The 15,903-nt window shown below is 41.9% G+C and overlaps 1 protein-coding gene across 41 annotated transcripts in view, besides 2 other annotated features; it reads left to right on the plus strand.

The window, feature by feature from the left end:
- The window catches only part of NTM (neurotrimin), a 966,208-nt gene that overhangs the window by 596,347 nt on the left and 353,958 nt on the right, over positions 1-15,903 (plus strand). The window lies entirely within an intron of this gene.
- Positions 10,466-10,976: an enhancer, noted in NCBI's record as "OCT4-NANOG-H3K27ac hESC enhancer chr11:131847321-131847831 (GRCh37/hg19 assembly coordinates)". NCBI's record gives its function as "activates a minimal SCP1, AML or CMV promoter by ChIP-STARR-seq in primed H9 embryonic stem cells {active_cell/tissue: H9 hESC(primed)}" and the evidence as "EXISTENCE:reporter gene assay evidence [ECO:0000049][PMID:30033119]".
- Positions 14,198-15,151: an enhancer, noted in NCBI's record as "NANOG-H3K27ac hESC enhancer chr11:131851053-131852006 (GRCh37/hg19 assembly coordinates)". NCBI's record gives its function as "activates a minimal SCP1, AML or CMV promoter by ChIP-STARR-seq in naive H9 embryonic stem cells {active_cell/tissue: H9 hESC(naive)}" and the evidence as "EXISTENCE:reporter gene assay evidence [ECO:0000049][PMID:30033119]".

The raw sequence follows: 15,903 nt of genomic DNA on the forward strand, positions 1-15,903 counted from the left end.
GGTTACATGTGGGATGTGAGGGAAAGAGAGGTGTCAAGAGCAATTCCAGGGCTTCTGGCCAAGTTGCCACTATCTAAGATGGGCTATGATGTGGGCAAAGCAAGTTTGCTGGAAAAGATCAGGAGTTATGTTGTCCACATTAAGATGAAATGAGTGTTAGACATAAAAGCGGACATGCCAAGTGGACAGGTGAATATAAAAGAGGCTGGCACGGAAGAGTGATGTCTTGTAGGAGATTTACACTGGAGTGGGGTCATCAGCACACACATGGTATTTAAGACTGTGAGATAGAAGAGATCATCAGATGGAGAATAGAAGAGGTCCAGGCATCGTGGGTGGTCTCAAATGCCATACCCACAGTTCGAAACTTTAATTTATGATCAGTGGGGGGCAACTGATATATACTTTTGGAGGATAGGCATATCACGGTCTCAGCTGGGCTTGTTTCATTGATGCTTTTTTTTGTTTGCCTGTTTTGTGCAGAGACCACGCTGAGGTCATGTGTAGGTTGGCCCTGGGAAGGCCAAACAGGAGGCTGGTGCACCGAGCCACATGAAGGTGGGATGAGGACCAAGCCAGGACCATTTTAATGGGCCAGGGAGGAGCAAGGAGCAGGCAGAGATAAAGGGAAGAAGGGAAAAGACAACCAACTTCCCTTTCACTCAGTTCAAAACAGCAATCACCAGATCAATAGAGAAGAAAACATAATTTAAGCCTGAAACGAAGGTTTTTGTGTTTTCTTCTCTCTCTTTTTTGCTGCTTGAGGCATGGCAATGCTTGATAATGCTTTGCTTCCTGGGGGCATAGCTGACAACAGTGGGGAAGGAAATAGAGACAAGGTTTTCAGTATTTTAGAAATCTGGTTTCTATCTGAACTGTGGAGGGTGAGGAGCCTGCTTTTCTCATTAACTGGTCAGCATGTTCAGAATCTGAGAGGGAATTTTTGAGACAAACAGATCTGAATGCCTTCAGATAGAAAGATGGAAATGTTTCTCCTCCCCAAAGTCCCTTGACCTTTTAAATAATTGCCATTATACCAACCGTATATAGGAATCGGCTAGAAATAACATAAATAAATGCGAAACCATGTGCCTACACGTGCTAGCTAGTGTTTTACCAACAAGAATGGGTACAATTTAAAATCACCTTTATACAATTATCACAATGCACTCTCACAATGATCTTGTAAAGTGAATAAGGATCTCCTCCCCTACATATTTTACTGGGAAATAAAAAACAAAAAACTAAGACGTAAGCAGGCTGTGACTTGCTCATGTCAGAGAGAAACAGAACCAAGAATCAAACCAATTTGTGAGCGGAGGTCTGCTTCTCCACGGTGTTTGCTCTCTGGAGACAGAGGGACCATGCCACTGAATACACTGGACCCTGGTATCCAGTGCATCCTCAGGCCCATAATTTGCCATTGAACAGTTCATGATCCTCTAAACTTGGCGTCCTCCCCAGCACCTGTTTCTTAAACATATTAAGGTTAAAGAGTGGCAGGTGGCGGCCCTTCTTCCAATCGTACCCAGCAAAAGTAGGCTCAGGGGCTCACATCTGGAGATACAAAGGGATGCCCATTTCTGTGTCTCTTGCCTGATCTTGAAATTACCCATCTTGCCTGATCAGCGTTTCTGTCTTCCTGACTCCATGTGCTTTCCTTCTGAGTCTTTCTGGACTGCCCTCATGTGCTGTAGTAAAAGTGTAGCAGCGTTTCAAGCTATGGGGTTATTGCTGGGATATTTTATATCTAACAGGCATGGGGGTGATAATTCCTTTTTCACTTTTATAATTCACACATATCCTCCCCCGAAATGCATTTCGTATAGAGCTTTTAGGCAACTGAACACAAAGAGCCTTCCACCCCCTTAATTCTCCTGATCCTTATTTCAACTATTTTCCCACTGGCTTTTTCTCTTACTGCACTTTGGGCCAACTGAAAGCCAGTGGTGTTTAAGAACTCCCTTATGGATTATTTGTCAGTAGGCAAGGGGATGCTACCTCTATACCTGAAACTTCCATAATCAAGCACAGTTTATTACAGAGCAAATACAGGACAGTAGCAGGGCTTTTAAAAATCAATTAGTGTGCAATTCAAGATTAAAAACAGAAGAGGGCTAATTCTATTTTTCATTTGGATGGTAGGCTGCTTAAGGAATAATAGTACAAAGACTGAAGTCATTACAGGAATAATCAGAAGTTTACCCAGGTGTCTTTCTGAGCCCCTTTCCTCCTCAAGGCTCAGTAGCTTACTTTCCTGGGTTCATGTGTCCTGCAGTTCCTCTTGAGTGAGCACCAAGAAATACTAGCCTCTGTGAATGACAGGTGGGGGCTTCATGAGAGCTGGAGGTGATCGAAGACAGGTCACATTCTCCTAAAACCTCTGATGGTGTTTTCTCTTCCTATGCTAGAATCTACTCCATTCTTTTAGCTGTACTCTGTATGAATCATATGTACTTGTTCATGTTTTTCTGCAATTACTCAAAACTGTGTCTTCTTGACATATGCTGTTTGTCCATCAGCTCCAGAGAGCAGGCTCCTTTAATCTGTTGGCTTTGGAGACTGAGCAAGGGGAGGCAGGGTGAGTCCTCCATGCCTTTCACTATGGATTAGCCACATAATAGATGTTGGGGTTTCATAGTTTGGGGTTTTGTGGCATATGATGTGAATAGAAGCACTTTAGACTCTCGGCAGATCTATCTCTTTGAAGTTCTCTTATTATGTCTAATTTTGAGTACTGCACAGAATAGCTATAAATTTTGACAATGATAACCTGCTCTCTAACCCCAGGCAACCTGCTCCTCTTCCCTTTTCAATGTTTTCATTTTAGTATAAAGAAAGAGCGATGATAAATTTTTTTATTTTTATTTTTTGAGACAGGGTCTTGCTCTGTCACCGAGGCTGGAGTGCAGTGGCACCATCGTGGCTCACTACAGCCTTGACGTCCTGACTCAAGAGATCCTCCCACCTCAGGCTGCAGAGTAGCAGGGACCACAAGTGCGCAGCACCATGCCTGGCTACTTTCTTTTTATGGACATGACGTCTCACTGTGTTGCCATGCTGGTCTCGAACTCCTGGGCCCAAGTAATTCTCCTACCTTGACCTCAGAATGTGCTGAGATTACAGATTTGAGCCACTGCACCCAGCTAATAATTCTTATATAAAGGCAATGAAAGCAATGCAATTAGAAACTTCACCTGCACCCTGTCACAACCAAATCATAATTGTCCTCATGCATCCAGGTCAAGAATAATGGTGTTAAAAGCCAGTTATCATGGCTCCAATTTTTCTATGTTGACCTGAACTCAGCTTGTGCTAGTCTTGGGATTTGATTGTATGTTTTCTGTTTGGCTTCCATGTTCTACCTGCCAGTGGGCTTGGGGACCTCTTGCCACTCTGCACCAGGTAAACTGGAACTCCACATGGACCTTCCGATTTGGTACTGAGCTGTCATTCATTTGTCAGGCCTAATGTTGCTAATCCTCTTCTGGAAACTTTATCCTTCCCGAATTGGGCCACCTGATTCCTAGCTGAATGTTCACATCTGCTCCCCATTCCTTCCTAGGACCTGCAGACAGAGGCAGCAGGTACAGTTAAACTGTGGTCCTAGCCTCTGGGATTCAGCAACACTTCCGCCTCGCTGCTTATCTGACCATTTTTATTCCCAGGCTTATGCCAGTTATGATATACATTCCAATCTTATACCTGGGCTCTCCCCTCATTCTTCATTCCTGATCCCACTCATTATTCTTCATTATTTTTACCACAGATGCAGGGTGGCTGAGGGTTGAGTTAATCACATTCCTCAGTTCATAGCACATCATCATCCCTGACAAGGGGATCATTGATCCCCAAAAGTGTTATCTTATTTTTCCCCTCATCTCTGATTCTATGCCTTGTCCCTTTCTGCTACAGCTTCCCACACCAAAGCGTTTCATAAATTTCATTAAATGTGCATGTGTCTTTATAAAATGTGATGGTGCATTGTATGCATATGTCACTGATTTATCCATTTATTTGATTTATCAGGGCTGTCTTTCCAATTCCCCTCTAACCCAAACAAGCCTATGACAAACAACCCTTTACAAACCAATGAGAAATTTCCCTAGTTTCATAGCCAGCGGTGATTTTGCTGGGTCATGGGACTCCACAGGCTTAATTGTCTAAATAGCTGCCATATTGCTTTTCAATATGGATTTACAAGTGTACACTCGCCAGTAGAGTGCAAGAGTGCCCATCTGCATGCATCTCCAACAAAACTTAGTTTTCTCTAATCTCTGATTCCCATTTTTAAAACCATGTTCACGGGTGTAAAATGACACCTCACTGTTATTTTCATTTGCATTTCTCTGGTCACTGGTGTGAGCTCTTTAATTTGTGTGCTTTCTCGGCTTTTTCTTATGTGTATTACCGATTCTTTGGCCTATTTTTTGATTGAACCACCTATCTTTTTCTTGTAGATTTTCAGGAAAAAATGCTTGGTATATTCAAGATGTTAATTACTTCTCAGTTGCAGATATTGAAGATATGTGTCAGTAGATATTGAAGATATGTATCATTTTGCTTTGTCGTCTCTTACCATTTGTCAGTGGGGCTCTTCATTTGCGGTATAGTGATTAAGAGCATATATGCTGGAACCAACCTGCCTGGGTCCAAATCTTAACTCTGCCTCTGAGCTATGTGACCTCAGTGATGGTCCTTAATCTTCTATCTATATGTAAAACTGATATATTAAAATGACCATCTCAGCTTGAGCAACATTCTGAGACCCCACCTCTACAAAAAAAAGAAAAAAAAAAATTAGCTGGGCGCAGTGGCTCACGCCTGTAATCCCAGTACTTTGAAGGCCGAGGCAGGTGGATCACAAGGTCAGGAGATCAAGACCATCCTCGCTAACATGGTGAAACCCCGTCTCTACTAAAAATACAAAAAAAATTAGCCGAGTGTGGTGGTGGGCGCCTGTAGTCCCAGCTTGGGAGGCTGAGGCAGGAGAATGGCCTGAACCCTGGATGCGGAGCTTGCAGTGGGCTGAGATTGCGCCACTGCACTCCAGCCTGGGCGACAGAGTGAGACTCCGTCTCAAAAAAAAAAAAAAAAAAAAATTAGCCAGGTGTGGTGGCACACAACTGTAGTCCTAGCTACTTGGGAGGCTGAGGCAAGAGGATCCCTTGAGCCTAGGAGTTTGAGGTTGCAATGAGCTGTGATTGCACCACTGCACTTCAGCCTGGGCAACAGAGTAAGACTCTGACTCAAATAAATACATAAATACATACATACATACATAAAAATAAAGTTACCTTCTTCATAGGGATTTACTAAAACTGAATGAGTTAAATTGTGTAAATAACTTACAATAGTGTCTGGCCAAACACATACATACACATACATGTATATATATAAATTATATATGTATTTTCAAAGAAAACAAATAATAATTTCTTTTTTAGCTTTATAATTTTGCCTTTTCCATTTAGGTAATTAAGATGAAGTCTATCTTACATAATAAAAAATAATCTTAATGTAACAAAAGGTAGGGCTATAGCTTTGTTTCCTCCCACGTTGTGAGCCAGTTTTCCAGTATCATCTACTAAACTGTCTGTCATTCCCATTGCTTTGAGGGACTACTGTTTTCATATGTTGGGTTCCTGTATTTACATGCTTCTTTTTCTGTGTTTCTGCTTTGGCCTCCACATTGCTTTTCTGTTCATCTGTGCTGATGGAACCCCCGCATAATGTGGCTCTCTTGGTTTCCATAAGGCTCTCAATAACCACCCTGGAACAGAGGCAGTGTCAGGGTATTAACATAAACATGTTTTTAAAGATAAAAAAGAGTGCCACTTACAATCTCATGTATAATTTTAAATGAAAGAAAGCCTGTGATTTTGGGCCACTGTTGAGTGAATTGTGTGTCAGCATTCTCATTTTGAACGTGTCTCATTCAGCGATGTCTAAATCACTTTGTGCCATCTTACTAAGTAGAAACAATTCAACAATAACCAGGCAGATAAACAAATAATCAAGCAGACCAACAAAAACAAAATAAACAACATGTACTTAACAGTTTACTTAAGTAAAGAAAAGATTCGTTCTTTAGGATCTGTGAAGAACTCTAAATGTATTAGAATGACTCCACTTTCCCTAAAGAGTGTTCTCCCAATCAGGGCTGCCTTTTTCCTCTGTTCCCATCTATAGTCATGTCACCAGGGATGACTGCGCACAAGTGAAGTGGAAAAAACACAGTCAGATGTCATATCACCTCTAATCCTTTTTGTGCATCCAGTTCTTCCAATAGGATACAGAGGGGGAAGTTGAGCACAAGATTCTGCAGCGGTAACTCAGGACTTTTGGGAATTTCAAAGCCTAGAATTCTAAATGTGAGGCCTCTCACTTAGCTCTTACTTTACAGCATGTGGAATAGTTCAGCCCCTCACCATCCAAGGCAAGACTGGTGAACCTTTATTAGTGCTTCTCATGTGAAGCATCCATGCTTGTTCCTCCACTCCACAGTGAATCCCTAAGGGCAGGAGGGGAGTGCTTTGTTCTTCTCATCTTGTTTTTAGAAGACTAACTGGCACAGGCCAGGCGCTGTGGCTCATGCCGATAATCCCAGCACCTTGGGCCACAGTGGGCAGATCACCTGAGGTCAGGAGTTCGAGACCAGCTTGGCCAACATGGGGAAACCCCGTCTCTACTAAAAATACAAAAATTAGCCAGATGTGGTGGTGAGCGCCCGTAATCCCAGCTGCTCGGGAGGCCAAGGCAGGAGAATCGCTTGAACCCGGGAGGCAGAGGTTGCAGTGAGCCGAGATTGCACCACTGCACTCTACCCTGGGCGACAGAGTGAGACTCAGTCTGAGAAAAACAACAACGAAAAAAGAAGAGTAACTGGCACAGCATAGGCATTCAATATGCACAACATGGGCTTGGACTGTGTGGTTCACTCATATGCAGATTTTCTTCTGCCTGTGCCACCCCTGAGGCTGGAAGACCAACTCCTCAGCCTACTCCAGCTGGAGATGGTGAGGACGAAGACCTTTCAGATGATTCACTTCCACTTCATGAGTAGTACATATATTTTTTCTTTCTTGTTATTTTCTTAATAACATTTTCTTTTCTCTAGCTTACTTTATTTTAATAATACAGTATGTAATACATGTAACATACAAAATATGTGTTAATTGACTGTGTTATCAGTAAGGCATCTGTTCAACAGCAGGCTGTTAGTCATTAATTTTGTGGGGTGTCAAAAGTTATATCCAGATTTTCAACTATATGGGGGCTTGGAACCCTAACTCCTGAGTTGTTCAAGGAACATCTGTGTTCAAATGAATGAATGAATGAATGAATTGTGTTAAAATTGTGTCTGTGATAACTTATTCCTTACCCAAAATGCATTTAGGCTAGCTTTTTTTAAGATAGGAGTCCTTTTGCATTTTCCTTAGCACCTCAGAATATTTGTCCTATAGACAATTTGAACAGTGATGAGCATTTGCATATTTATAATCTACATGTGAACTTATACCTCTTTGCTCTCATGTTAATGAGTTCAACACATAGTGAGTTAGCATCTTCTGTGAGCATAGCATAACGTCTGAGAGGTGCACAAAAGATACGTGTAATGTGAAAAGAGATTAGAAGATGTAAGCATGGGCTCTTGGATCTGACTGCCTGGGTTCAAATTTTGACCCTGGCATTTATAAAAAACATGACCTTGGGTAAGTCACTAAAATGCTCTTTGCCTTAGTCTTTTCACTTGAAAAATATTTTTTTTTCTCATAGAGTTATTGTGAAAATTTAGTGAGATAACATATGTGCAAGGCTTGGCACATACTTAGCACTGCATAATTATTAGGTCCTAGTGTTTTTACAGTCTGACCTACAAAACTTTCAAATTTAGAGGGGGAAATAAGACAGAGACTGGAATAGTCTAAACTTTTGAAAAGGCTAAAACATATCACAAATGTCCTAAATTATGCCTATATCGTGTCCTTCTGCGAGCCTCCACTCCATTTATTAATAGTTTGCAAAAACCTTCAGTAGATCTCCCTGCATTGACAAGTGAGTTTTCTTTTCTTAGTGGAGTTCTTCAGACAATGCAATCTGACCTATCTTGTGCCTTAAAAAATATTCAGGTACAGTAATATAACTGCCTAGTTTCCTTGTTTTTCTTTCTTCTTATTTTTTGCCTTTTCAGGTAACAAGTGGGACCAAAATAAGAATCTTGCCTTCTTTTTTTTTGAGACAGAGTCTTGCTCTGTCACCAGTCTGGAGTGCAGTTGAGCAATCTCAGCTCACTTCAACCTCTGCCTCCCGGGTTCAAGCAATTCTTCTGCCTCAGCCTCCCAAGTAACAGGACTACAGGTGCACGCCACCATGCCCAGCTAATTTTTGTATTTTTAGTAGAGATAGGGTTTCACCATGTTGGCCAGGCTGGTCTCTATCTCTTCACCTCATGATCCACCTGCCTTGGCCTCCCAAAGTGCTGGGATTACAGGCGTGAGCCACTGCGCCTGGCCGAATCTTGCCTTCAATGGAAAGCCTAGTCTTCTAGATTTATAAGCCTTAAAATGTTAGGGGAGGGGGGAAAAAAAACCTCCAAACAAAACCCCAATAAAAGCTTAAATAAGGGCCTACGTGAATGAATTTGTCATCAGATGTGTTTGGGTTGCTTGCCACCCTATTTAACGGTGTGTTTGTTTTGTGCCTTTTCTGCCTGAGTTGGTGTAAATGTCTTTTCTCCACGGTTTCCTTCCTGTGATGACATAGATGGGTTGGATTCGAGAGTCCTCAGCTTACCGCTCTTCCACTTGAAAGGAAGAGGGTCATGAGAGGAGAGGATTTCTGGAGTGGAATTTCAATCTCTGGTCATCAGGAAAGGGAAAACATTCTGCCCAGGATTTCCTGTCATTTATTCTGGAGAGCTTTGTGTTGTGCTCTGTGCAGGATCCGAGATATGATTAACTCAACTCTGGAGTCTGTTGGCAGAACCAAGCAGCTCTGGCATCAGAAGAGAGATGTCCTTAGGCCTAACCTGCCCTCCCTGGGGTCTTGTTACCTGCTCAAAAAGAACCCAGTGGCCTTTGAATGCATTTTAAATCTGTGATTGGTGCAGTTTGATGGTCCTTCCTTCCCTCCTTCCCTCCCTCCCTCCCTCATTCCTTCCTTCCTTCCTTCCTTCCTTCCTTCCTTCCTTCCTTTCTTCCTTCCTTCCTTTCTTCCTTTCTTCTTCAGTTTAACTCAGCTTTCAATAAGCTTAATGGGATGAAGTCCAAGCGATGAAAAGAGAGGTGATAAGAGCACAAAGGGGAAGCTTATACCCGAGCATGGGTGAGTACAGGAGATGGGTTGTTCTGATTATTCTTGCTCCTGTTTTGCCTTGGCCACCAGTTGGCCAGGTCGGGGACAGTATGGTTTATGGACTGCTGTCACTTGACTCTTCCTTCTCAGTTGCCTTTTACCTTGGATGAATTTTCAACGTTCTCTTCCCACTTTCAATCATAAGGAGTTGTTGAATAGATTCATGTTTTCTTTCATTCTTCCTTCCTTTTGTCTTTTTTAACTATAGGAGATGGGCACACTGTTCAACACACAGATAATTTAGAAGAATGTTTCAGTGTCAGTTCTTCCTCTCCACCCTCTTTCACCCCAGTTCAGTCATAACTGAAATCACAAATGAATGGATCCAATTAATAGTAAAAATAAAATGTCCAGGATGCTCTCTGGAGTTCTGAGATCCATAGGTCACGGACAGACTCAAGAATACAAAGTCTTCTTCAGGCCTCTGTTTCTAATTTGCAGAAGAAAACAAGAGGGTGAGTAGTATTTTGCTTTGAAAAGCATCTCAGCGAAAGTGCTACATGATAACACAGCCCTCATTTCCATAATTCTGCTCCCTCCGGAGCACAGGTACATTTAATTTCTCACAACTGTTCCCTAAATGAAGAGCAGCATGAGGAATACACAGAGAATGAAAAATATCGGTGTGTGTGGGTAGTACATGACCACTAATCTTTCCTGACATTTACTTTCACTCATGAGCACAGGGGTGACCAGCCCCACCAGTCCTAGATGCTGAAGATAAATGTCAGCACCATCCATTGGAAGCTTTCTATGCATACATGCATATTGGAAATCAAATATATTTGGCTTATCACACACTGAGGAACCCATCCCTTCAGAAATGCATGGATTGATCTCTGCTACCCCACTCACCAGTGCCATTTGGTAAAGTTGGGGAATGGTAAGATAGTTCGCTGCATTTTTAATGGAAGGAAAACAAAAAGCGACTACGCGTAACAGTTTTTACATTATATGCCTTCAGTGCTGTGTGCTGTCACCCCACGTGTTGTACTGCCAAATTTCCCAAGAGCGTCTGCTCTTCCTATTGTGAAAACAATGAGCTGGTGTATGTCATGCAAGGCTATTCTGCCCATGCCAAATAGCTCTGTATGTTTTAACTGTCTTCACACTGGGCTCCACCAATCACTCAGGCGCATACCTCTTCCTCAGCCCTAGGCAATAGAAGTTACAGCATTCATGAGCAATTGCTTTCCTCACATAAAGGAAAAAAAGGATTTTGGTCTTAAGGTCTTGCCAGCTCATTGACTAATTTACTCCTAATCCTGAATGTATAAAGCCACTTGAACATTTCATTTGTGTGACATGGTTAAAGGCTTACGTAAATATAGCTGGTAAGGGCTAGGATTGTAGATTAAAGTCAGAAAGAGGTGATTTTGTTCTTTTTGACTAGATACTGTAAATTCTGATGTCCAATTAAGATCTGAAGGAGAAACCTTTGTAACCCAATGCAATGTGAGTTTCTCGAAGAAAAGGAAAAAAAAGGGAAACAAGTCTCCATTCTCAGGGACCCATTAACAGCTCAGTACAATGACTCTTTATGTGGCCTTTGATATGCAAAAACAGCCCAAAATAATTTATGGAGAAAATCAATTATGAGCTGAAGAGAAAAAGAAAGTTGCCCAGATTAATTACCAAGTCAGGAAGGATGGCAGTGCAAGCACCTGGAGTTATGTCCAAGGGGGACGCCCTTCTGCAAAAATTCTTCATGGTCAGAAGAAGGCTCTGTGGTCAGGAGAGAAGGGAGCCACATGAAGTCAGATGAGCTGAGCTGTACCTTCTGGAATGCTGAGAATGAGAGCGCATATCATCTATTCAGTGAGATAAAAAGGCTGCTTCAAAACTAAAGGTATATTTCATACCCTCGAGTGTGAAGTGCAAATTGACAATGGATGGAACAATAGCATTGGCTAGAAAGCCTGGAATAAAACCATCACAAATTGAATTTAGAGAACTTATGAAAGCTAATTTTATGCATGTTTTATTTTATTACATATTTTTCTTTAAAACAGTAATAGACTCAGGGATGTTGGCAATGGAGGGGATTTTAGAACACCTAGTCTGGTGGATTTCAAATTATTCGGGTCAGAGCACCTATTCTTTTGAACAAATCTTACTCATTATTAAGAAATTAAAGCAAACAAAGTCAGAAGAAAAAAAACAGTAGACCTGCTCTGGCTAAGGGGCTGATGAGGTTGGAGTCTCTTCCCTATTTCCTATGACTGTTCCCGAGGCTCCTGCAGCAGTAACCTAAGGCTCTAGAGTCTCTTCCCTATTGCCTATGACTGTTCCCGAGGCTCCCGCAGCAGTAACCTAAGGCTCTATGGAACACTATCAGAACTCAGTGATTCCTAATATTAGTTCCCACACTAGAACCATGCATCCTCTACCAAAATACGTTTCCTTAGTTTAATAAGTTTGTTAAATATTGCTTGCACAACCCAGAGTTTGGAGAATTACATTAGCACATTGAAGGCTGTGAGAGTAAAACTTCAGATTTGAAATGCATTAACCTATGTTTAACCTGGTTTTTCACCTGCATACTTGAATGTACCTGACCGGGAAACCCTTTTATCAGAAACACGTATTAACATTCTGTGGCAGATAAGTCCCCTAGGATGCAGTTTAGAAAACAAAACTCTTGTCTGGGTTCCAGTCTAACTCCCTTGTTTTTTAAGTGAGGGTACAGAGCCTCCGAGAGCATGTAAATCGCTCGCTCTTGGGTACATACTTGGAAGCAAAGTTAGGAACCAGACATAGGATTCTTGAATCCATGAAGCTAAGGGGATTTTCAAACATATTTTCTTTAATATTTCCACATGTCTGTGGGCAGGGAGCAGTCATGTTCTATTCTTTTGATGCTATACACTGAAACACAGAAAGTCAAGGTTACCCAGTCAAACTCTAGTATAATCCTTCCTTCAGTGCCCTGGTCGGCTTGCTTGGTGCTAAAAGAAAAAAATCAATCCATCTCCCTGCTGAGTGGAAGAGGATAAAGCTGTCCAATTTTTAGATCTTAGATATTTAAACTAAAGAAGTGTGTGATAGCATTATTAACAATTGGCGTAGTAATTTCTTGAGGTTTAGATAAACTAGTTTACATTCGCAACATTTAGTGATGATTTAAGATGCTTTGCTATGTTGGCATTCAAAAATTGGGCAAACCTCTGGCCAAAGTGAAGTACAGCCCATGTGAGCTATGGAAATGCAATTAAAAGGAGTCACAGAGCCTTCTCAACTGCCTGGGCTTAATTAAGATATGATCTGCCAGTCTCTTAGTGGCCATTAATTCATTGTCTGGTAATCCAATAAGGGGTTATTGTTTGAAGCTGTTTGAGAGCCACTTGCCTCACTATTAACTCAAAATTGCCCAAAAGGCGGTACTACAATGTCATTCTCCCTGCCCCAAAGAGGACATGACATTGAAAGACATTTGACATCCACATTTGACAACACTTGAAATGGCAACATTATGGCTTAAGCATTCACAAGTCTATGGATATGATAATGGAACTAGTGACATCTAATTACTAACTGGCAATTAATGATAATAGCCCTTTGTGAATATGTAGGGCCATTCTCTATAGGGAGCTCCTTGCTCTTTGCACATATTAATTAATATAGATAGGCAGGTAGGTGATAGAAAGGTGGCTTTATAACATTATTGCTGCTGAGTAAACTGAGTCAGGTTCCAACTGCACCTTGTAGATGCACAACGATTCCTTGCTGTTTTGAAACTAAATGGATTACAATTTTAAGAGTAATTAAAGAGGAATGAGAACTGTAGGGAAGTGAAGGGAATGGATGTCAAAGGAAAATTCAAGGTATCACTAACTATTTGAATTCTTGATTTACTTCCACCCATGTTTCTGGAATAGGAATTGGTCATTTTTCCCGGATTGGTAGCCAGATATGAAACATTAAGTCGGCTTTCAGCAAAATGATGTCTGGTATATTCAGAATAAGGCCGATTTATTTTCTCCCCACAGAGCCCCATTGATGCTGAATTTTTATTGCCCAATAGAATTCAACCTGGTTGTGATTATCCCATTGGTCCTGCTAGATAAAACCCATGTGTATTTGCCAAACACCCACTTGGAAATGGAAAATTTAATTAAAGACAGGAAACTGAATTTAATGATCTCTACTGATCTCTTAAATTCCCCAAATTATTTCATTATGGCTTACTTATTGAATTTTCTTAAGGAATTCTAAAATAAATGAACAATTACCTGAATTTTGCAGTGTTGTACATAGAAATAGAGTGAGTTTTCACCACACTTTCAAAAACAAGTGAGAGTCTACCCCACTAATTCATATATTCTTTCATTCATAAGCATTTATTGAGCACATACAGTGTGCCAATGCTGTGCTGAGCTCTGGGTGTACTGATAGAAAAAGCTTTGATGTGGCCCTTAAGATGCTCAGTGTGGTGATAGAAAGGAAGTTAAACAAATAAGTACAATCCGGAGTGACCAATTCTACAACAGAAAGATGAGCAAGTTATGGGGAGTAATGAGGGCAAAGAGGAATGAGAGTTAACTTTGTGAGTAGCCCCTGCCTGGCTGTGCGATAGGGGTTCAAATCCGACTCTATGTTTATGGGAAGTACTTTGTTCCATCTGCCTATCCACCTGTCATTACTTCAAGTTGATTTAATAGTTCTGCAGTTGGGACCTGTGGGGTGTGTGTATGTGTGTTTATAATAAGTTTAAATGAGGTAATCCTTTTATAACCTCACTACTCCCTATTGGGATTTGTTTGTTTTGATGGAAGGGAGGGAGATGAGATTTGGCACATAGCAGGTATCCAGCAAATGCAACTGCAGCCTGAAGAGTCAACGTGGACAAATCCCAAACAATGTGAGCCCTTTGGGAATGCTCCGCTTTGTGTTTCCTCTGAATTGCATGAGGCTACCAGATGAGGACAGGAGGAGAAAGAATTAAAGTGTCCTGACACCGTGTTCCAGGTTGTGTAGCTTTTAAGTGGGCACCCATTTTTCCACCTAAGAGCTCCAATGTGCCTCTGTTTGACCACATGGCTTTCCGGTTAGCTGTGTGACAGCTGGATGTCCCAGCATTTCTTTCTCTCCCTTTCCAATCACGAGCTGGAGCAGTCTTGATGAATCTCTGCAGGCACGTCGTCCTCAACTGAGGGATGATTCATTGGCATGAAGCTGTTAAGTGATTAAAATAAAGCACTTTTATGGAAACGTTCTGCTTACTCTGTGTTCCCAGACACCTCTGTAGTGTGTCTGTGGCAAGAGAGGACTGTAGGGGACACACATCGTCTTATCATTTTCTCTCTTGTTACAATATCCAATATTTCTGTGCTAGGGCAGAATTTGAAAATTGTAGTTCAATTCAGATAACCTTGCATGTGCTCTTGGGCCCTTGAAAGGAGAGAAAACAGGCCTGGTGCGGTGGCTTATGCCTGTAATCCCAGCACATTGGGAGGCTGAGGCAGGTGGAGCACCTGAGGTCAGGAGTTCAAGACCAGCGTGGTCAACATGGCGAAACCCCATCTCTACTAAAAAATACAAACATTAGCTGGGCGTGGTGTCAGGTGCCTGTAATCCCAGCTACTTGGGACGCTGAGGCAGGATAATTGCTTGAACCTGGGAGGCGGAAGTTGCAGTGAGCCAAGATTGCACCACTGCACTCCAGCCTGGGTGACAGAGCGGGACTCCATCTCAAAAATAAAAAAGAAAAGGAGAGAAAACAAGCAAACAAAAAAACCCACAGAAAACAACACAACAAAAAACACTAAAAGGAAAAAAAAAGAAACCGTGCAGTTTGAAATTATCTCCTAGGTTGCCCATCTGCCCAAGGGGAAAAGTCTATGAGAAACATACTGGGGTGGAGGGAGGGGGGACTTGGAGGCAGCAACACACTGTTCTCATGGGAAGGGAGGCTCCTTTTTGTTTGTTTTGTGCACAGGAACTTGCCCTGATTGGAGTAGAGTTTGCAACCCTCCCCAGTGTGGGGTTTCTTTGTTACGAAGATCAAGAGAAGGCATAGGGAATGCAAGAATGTAAAGAGAAAGAAGGGGCAAGAACAAGGATGAAAGGAGCTGGAGAAGGGAAAGGGACAGCGATGGCAGGAATGGAGAGACACGAGAGGTGGGATGAGGAAACAAGGAGGGTCATGGAACAGACACAGCTGCTCCTGAAAGTTCAGGAGCAGCTGGGAGAGGGGCTTCTGGCTTCTTCCAGCCAGGGTGCTCCCCTATGGAAAGCAGAGTTTCTGGGTCTGTCCCGTGTATGTGCCCTTTAAAGCAAGTGTCACTGGAGACACATAAAATGAAAGGGGGGGCAGGGTGGAATAAAGGGAAAAATTATTGTAATTCTTAAACAGACAACTTTAAAAAGCAGTGATTTAGGTTGTTTTATTCATTACACGTCATAAAGGACTCAGGCTGTGGTGCCCACTGGCTTTAAAATCTAGGACCCTATTAAAACCTTTCCTTGTTAGTAACTCAGAGCTTTGGAAATTTGATAAGAAAAAAAGCCAATTTAATCAAGGCAAGATTTAACACAAAGAAAGGA

The sequence above is a fragment of the Homo sapiens genome, chromosome 11 (assembly GCF_000001405.40).
Source record: "Homo sapiens chromosome 11, GRCh38.p14 Primary Assembly".
NCBI lineage: Eukaryota > Metazoa > Chordata > Mammalia > Primates > Hominidae > Homo > Homo sapiens.